The 7,499-nt window shown below is 31.6% G+C and overlaps 1 pseudogene; it reads left to right on the top strand.

Moving 5' to 3' along the window:
* On the top strand, positions 1,773–5,820 carry ANKRD20A14P (ankyrin repeat domain 20 family member A14, pseudogene; annotated as a pseudogene).
* Positions 5,821–7,499: the final 1,679 nt, after the last annotated feature.

Raw genomic sequence — 7,499 nt, forward strand, 5'->3', positions numbered from 1 at the left:
AAGAGAAAGTCCAACTTCAAAAAGACAGAGGTTCACTTGCTGCTTCTTTTTTCTCTTTATCAATTATTTGATTTAGTCAAATTTTCTATTCAAGAAAATCCCATGTGTACAGTTACAGCGGGGTTTTCTAAATGTGTAATTATGTGTCAAAGTAGACTAGTCCTGCTATCTAAACAACGGTTCTGGAGAATGTTCTCATAATGTTTGTTCATTAATCAACCTAATTCTCACTCTCAGTCTTCCAAGTGGCATATGAGCTGGGAAACTAATTCAGCCATATACCATGTGACCTTCTGAACCAGATCAACATAAAGAAATTGCTAAAGAAATAAGTTTTAGATTCTAGATTCTTTTTACTATAGTCATTTAGAGATGAATTACATTTATTTAATGATAGAATGGGAATACAACGGGAGGGAAGCAATGACTGAGATGAGCCACAAAAACACTTCTAGCCTTGAGAGTTGCAATGAATATTCCCAGCCAAATGAGTCTGTTTAATGTGTTTTCATGCATGCAAGTTTATCTGCTTAGCTCAAACTGTTTGAATTTATAGTTCCATCATGGTTATTTCTAATATTTTGAAAACAAATATATACTTCCACATATTTTAAAAAATCACCACTCCAATATTTCTGTTGAATCAGACCTTACATTATGTTGTTTAATAAAGTATGGTAAGTTTTGGCATGTATGATTTTTATCATGTAAGAAGCATAATTTCTTAGCTAAAAATTTAACCTTTGACTCTTTAGTAGAAAGTTGAGTTCTGTACACTGTGTTCTAAAGATAGACAAAAATCTAGAGATTTTCTTCTTTCAAAGTAAAAGTAGATGAGGCCTTTTTCCACCCTCTGAGGTGTTAAATTGCTTTGCTCAAGTTAGACTTTTAATATATCTGACTAATTTGATAAATTTATCTGGTAATTTATGTAATTCAGTAACATGGAAATGTATCATGTTATTTGGTGCCATGAAATGCTAGGGAATGCCGCCTCAAGAGCTCTGGATGAAACATTTCATATGTCTTGGTTGGTTTGACTCCCGTTTTCAGTAGATAATATGGCTTAAGTAGATAACTGTACCATATGTGTTCCACCTATAAACATTTGTGGTAATTGAATGTGAAATCTGGGAAGCATCTCGTTTTCCAGAATTCTGCACTAGAAACTCAGCAGTTTCACTCTGCTTCTTGTGTTGTGGCAAACAAACATTGGTTCCCATAGTTCAGGGAGAACTTTCACTTTTTTGATATCCCAGGATTCAAAAAAAAAATAAAAAGAGATAAAAGGCAGTGGGGAAAAGAATAGCTCAGTGCAGAAAAGGGAAAACTTCTTTACTGTTCTTGAAGGCCTACAAGGTTACTTCCTCTTAATCTGGCTATTTCATGTAAAATCCATGTGGCAATGACAGAAGATATATGTTATGCCTGTGTCTTTTTATTTCTCTGTTTCTGCCAGTCAACTAGCATAAACATTTATATCAGATAGCAAAGAGTGGATGCGAATAAAAGCACAAAATGGAGAAGAGTCCTTTTTGAAATTTTGGAAAATTCTTCCATTCACTCAAACAGAAATGAGCAGACTTGACAAAAATTTCAATGATAAAATGATGAGTATCTTATAATTATTATGTATAATGATAAAATTAAAGTAAGCACAAAATATTTTTATCATTAAAATGGCGATAGTTAACCTGAATCAAGTTAAAAAATCAGGGAAAAAGTTTTTTTTATTGAATAAAATAATAATTATTGTTCATATTACTTTTATTAAAGGTCAAAGAAGGAAATAATACAAACAAAAGTGAAAAAATACAACTATCAGAAAATGTATGTCATAGTACATCTTCTGCTGCTGCTGACAGATTAACCAAAGAAAGAAAGATTGGGAAAACGTATCCTCAGCAATTTCCCAAGAAACTGAAGGAAGAGCATGATAGGTAAGTAAGCCTATAGCAGTTTTTTTTTTTTTTTTTGAGATGGAGTTTCTCTCTTGTTACCCAAGCTGGAGTGCAATGGTGTGTTCTCACCTCACTGCAACCTATGCATACTGGGTTCAAGTGATTCTCTTGACTCAGCCTCCCTAGTAGCTGAGATTACAGACATGTGCCACCATGCCTAGCTAATTTCTTGTATTTTTAGTAGAAATGATGTTTCACCATGTTATCCAGGCTTGTCTCGAACTCTTGACCTCAGGTGTTCTGCCCACCTCGGCCTCCCAAAGTGCTGGGTTTACAGGAATGAGCCACCGTGCCTGGCCACCTATAGCAGTATTTCTCAGCAGATAATTGTCATTGTGCTATAAACTAATTCAAAATCGGACTAATGTTCATTATGATTAAAAAGTTTTATAGTTTTACCAGGGATATTTAGCCCTGCCTGGTAATCAGAAAAATGCAAATTAACATAAAATAAGATATATTTTGTAAAGTCATGCTGATATTGAAAAAGTAATTCCTACCATTGAAAATGAGAGGAAAAAGGCATTCTCATACACTGTTGGTATATGAAATTGGTAAATTATTTCTGAAGGGTAACTTAGTGCTGTTTATCAAAATTTCAAATAACCTGACATCCCCTTAACTCAACAACTCCACTTCTGGGACTAGATTTCACAGGAAAACATAACTTGTGTAAACATACACACACTTATTAAGGGCATTAATTATATATTACACATAATGAACAATAGCTTAATAAATATATAAAATATATGTAATAAGAAGGTGAATTGGAAGTATTAAGAAAGAATTAGAAAAAGTGTGGGGTAACAGATGTTAGACTCTTTAGCCTAGTTTTAGATGACAATAATCTGCAGATATAGTTTGTGTGAGAGACATCTTACTCTGTAAATCATTTGGAGAGACACCTGCAATATTTCATAGAGATGAAAACTTATTTCTAGTGAACTTATACGCTTGTCAATAAATAGTAACTTTAAAAATTTAGTTGATTGTAAATGACCTTTTCTAATCAGGTAGTAATTATGACTGTGTGATTTGAAAAGGTAGTTTTGAACTTCTAACTATACTGAATTATTTCCAGTATCTTTTTGTATAATACATACTAGAGTGACTAGTAATAAAAACTTTAGCAGAATATTCTTTCCTTACTACTTTTCAAGTATATGCATTCGTTTGAAGATGTTGAAGTGAGAAATTAAATATTTGAGAACTACAAAGGAAAAATAATCCAGAACAGAAATTTTACTAGGATGATAAAGAGCATCTGCAGAGGTAGATCACAGGATGATCTCTTTATTTTTTAACAAAATGAATTTTAAGATAAATGTCTTTGTCTGCAGATGCATCTTAAGACAAGAAAGTGAAGAAAAAACAAATGTTAATATGCTGTACAAAAAAATAGAGAAGAATTAGAAAGGAAAGAGAAACAATATAAGAAAGAAGTTGAAGCAAAACAACTTGAACCAACTATTGAATCACTAGAGATGAAACCGAAGACTACAAGAAATACTCCAAATCAGATAAATCAATCTTTGGTAAAAATTCTATATTTTAAACTTTATTTTATCAATGTTACTTATAATATCCTCTTGATTTAATATATAATATTTTGGTCTAAAACAAACCAGAAATGTTATCTCATTTTTAAAAAATGAATGATGACACTTACAGGTACAATTATTTTTATTATAAATCTTGGCATCCACATAGGATATTATTTTATTACAAAGAGCTTTTGAAAACAATAATATGCCATAATATATACTTAGTGATAACCTATTGATAAAGATTTTGTTCCCAGTAAAATTGTTCCTTGTACTTCCCGCCATTTCATATTGATTACTGTACCTAATACTATAAAGAGGAAACAAATTATTGCAATCACAAATAATCTCATGATATTCTAAGAAGAGCTCTATAAATTTTATCTTATTTACCATTGGTGTTTTGAAATAAAAGTTTTCTTTCGTATTGATACATTTACACCACAGAAGTAACTGTGATCTGTCAGAGAACTAGAAGTAGAGTAAGAAGTCCTGGGGAAAATCCTGTAGCTTGCTTATATTTTTAACATTTCTTTTTCAAATTTGTGGTAACTAGATGAGCTCATCAATGAATGTATATAGGAGTGACTAGTATAATGTCTAGATTTACGATTTAGTAAATGTAATTCTTTCAACTGACTATAAAAGTGTTAAAAGAGTCAAATTAAAATAGAATGTTATCAGTGAAACAGAACTGTAATAACTCTGGGAAATTTTATCTGTCCAAATATGTGTGAAATAAGGTTCTTACTATAGGGTGGTGTATGGGTTAGATATCAAAGTGTAAATGCAATTTTTGATATATTTTAATTTAGTCAAATTTGTTAATGCTTTAATTTATGCTTTTGAGTTTGTTGTAATTCAGGGAAAGGCTTTTCCAATTCTGAAATTCTTAAAAATTCTCTGGTGTGCGTGTGTGTGTGTGTGTTTACTTTTATAAATTCATTGACTTTAAATAAATTTCTGAACTTTTTGGAACTTATGCTCTATAAAGTACAAAGTTTTGCTTCAACTTTTTCTCCAGTTGGATATCCACTTACAGTAACCTTTTTAGTATGTGGATGTGCAGGTTATTCTTTAACTTCAGAGGTAATCATGATATTTTATTGAGTACTAGCTAAAACTTTCTTTTGTTTTATTTAGGATTTTCATAATCAGGAAGAAATGAAAGATCTGATGGATGAAAATTGCATTTTGAAGACAGATATTGCTATACTCCGACAGGAAATATGCACAATGAAAAATGACCACCTGGAAAAAGAAAATAAATATCTTAAGGACGCTAAAATTGTTAAAAAAACAAATGCTGCCCTTGAAAAGTATATAAAACTCAATGAGGAATTGATAACAAAAACAGCATTCCGGTATCAACAAGAGCTTAATGATCTCAAAGCTGAGTATACAAGGCTCAATTCCGAACTGTTGAAGGAAGAAGAAAGCAACAAAAGACTGGAAGCTGAAATTGAATTATCAGTCTAGACTGACTGCTGCTATAAGTAAGCACAGTGAAAGTGTGAAAACAGAAAGAAACCTAAAACTTGCATTAGAGTGAACACAAGATGTTTCCTTACAAGTAAAAATGAGTTCTGATATTTCCGAAGTAGAAGATAAGAATGAGTTTCTTACTGAACAACTTTCTAAAAAGCAAATTAAATTCAATACCTTAAAAGATAAGTTCCGTAAGTAAAGAGATACTCTCAGAAAAAAGTCATTGGCTTTAGAAACTCTCCAAACGACCTAAGCCAAACACAGCAGCAAATAAAGGAAATGAAAGAGATGTATGAAAATGCAGAAGCTAAAGTGAATAATTCCACTGGAAAGTGGAGCTGTGTAGAAGAGAGGATATGTCAACTCCAACATGAAAATCCGTGCATTGAACAGCAACTAGATGATGTTCATCAGAAAGAGGATCATAAAGAGATAGTAACTAATATCCAAAGAGGCTTTATTGAGAGTGGAAAGAAAGACCACATGCTAGAAGAGAAAAATAAGAAGCTAATGAATGAATGTGATCATTTAAAAGAAAGTCTCTTTCAATATGAGAGAGAGAAAGCAGAAAGAGTAGTAAGTATCAAGGAAGATAAATGTTTTCAAACTTTTAGAAAGAAAATTTAAACATTTGGTTCTGGATACATGTTGAACTTAGTTGAATATAAAAATCAATGGATAAAAAGTGTGTTTACCATACTGTATAATTCCATTTACATGAAGCATCCAGAAAAGATAAACGTATAGGGACAAAAAGTAGACTAATGTTTGCAAAGGGCTGGGGCTGAAAGCTGGTAGTGACTGCTAATGGGCGTGAGGGATCTTGCAGTGATGGAAATGCTGTAAAGTTGGATTGTAGAGATGGCTGCACAACTCAGTAAATGGACTAAAAAATCTTTTAACTTTAAGTTAAAACAGATACATTCTATAGTATGTAAATTATATTTCAACAAAGCTGTTTTAATAAAAAAAAAGGAAAACCGTGTTTACTATACCAGCTTAGAAACGTGCCCCATTTCTAGGAAATAAAAGGTAGAGGTGAGAGATGATTTACTTTGAGAAAAGACATTGTGTCACCTATGAAATTTTATTAGGCACAGAGTCATATTTTAAGATAGATAGTTCTGTACTGGTGAAATAATAATTTTAATGACTTTATGTTGCCACATGTTAAGACCATAATGTAAGTATAAATGGAAATGTTTACACCTGAAATGAGTATTTTCAAATTAAAATTTAATTGATTTTCTTTGACACTTAATTCTAGATTTCCCAGATGAACTGAAGTGTATTGCTGTGTCTTGTAATACCTTGCTTTAAGTAGCTTTTTATGTATTTTAGTTGGTATATCTTTGTTATTAATCATATTAATTTAACAAATCTGAAAATATGTCAAATTACATATTTTTATGACTATGTAATGTTTTAAAGGCACCTACTTGTTATAAAATCATAATTTAGGATACATGTGGTAATATTTAGCAAAAGTATATTTGGTTTAGTCTTCCCACTGGTATTTATAGTTTACTTTGAATATTTATATTAATAATTAGCTCCTAATTTTTATTTCAAGGCTCAATGGCTATCATTGGAATATAATTTTGTTCAGTACAAAGATACTTGTAGCTGCCTGTGATTTATGAATAAGGCATTAGATCCCTATTTTCAGACTGAGGGGTGGCAGGCTTCACGTACAGTGGGAATGGAGTAATTACAGGAGGGAGTTGTAGGAGCTTTGAAGTCAGAGAGGGAGGTAGAGACCTGTTTACCTAGGACCTCAAAGGCCATTGGAATTTTACTTTTATTCTGAGATAGGAATCTGTTGGAAGGATTTGAACAGGTGATTGAATATGTGAGGAACTTTGAGGTTGAGTTGAGCTTCTAAGATGATTGAATGGTGGGATGAATCTGTTATGTAAGTAAGAGAATACCAATTTGGCAGGAAGAGAACATATTGTGCATCCCTCACTGAATTCAGTAATAAATAAAAATGTGTACATGTGATTAAAAGAAGGTGAATCGATATGTGTGGTGATAATTTTCAAAGTACGTATGTTAGAGTTAAATATTATTAACATAATTTAATAATAAGGCAATTTATAAAATCAGTAACAAAACTATTTTCTCAGGTGGTTGTGAGACAACTTCAGCAAGAAGCAGCTGACAGCCTAAAAAAATTAACTATGTTAGAGTCTCCACTGGAAGTATATCACATTATCACATTAATTTGGATGAGACACAGGTCCCAAAGAAGAAATTATTTCAAGTGGAAAGTCAAGTATGTATGGAACTTAGCATGTCAACGGTTATTCTGTAGCTTGTTGAATTACATAACATGTTTTAGGATACTAATTATGGCAGAAGCTTGATTTTTTATTTTCATTACAATGAATTATTTCCATTTTACTATCTCTATAATGTACTTATTTTTTTATATAGTGACTTTCATTCTACCATTTTGAAAAACCATTGCATACCTTTTCTCTTACAATATGTACCCTTG

Source organism: Homo sapiens, unplaced genomic scaffold (genome assembly GCF_000001405.40).
Source record: "Homo sapiens unplaced genomic scaffold, GRCh38.p14 Primary Assembly HSCHRUN_RANDOM_CTG42".
NCBI classification, from domain to species: domain Eukaryota; kingdom Metazoa; phylum Chordata; class Mammalia; order Primates; family Hominidae; genus Homo; species Homo sapiens.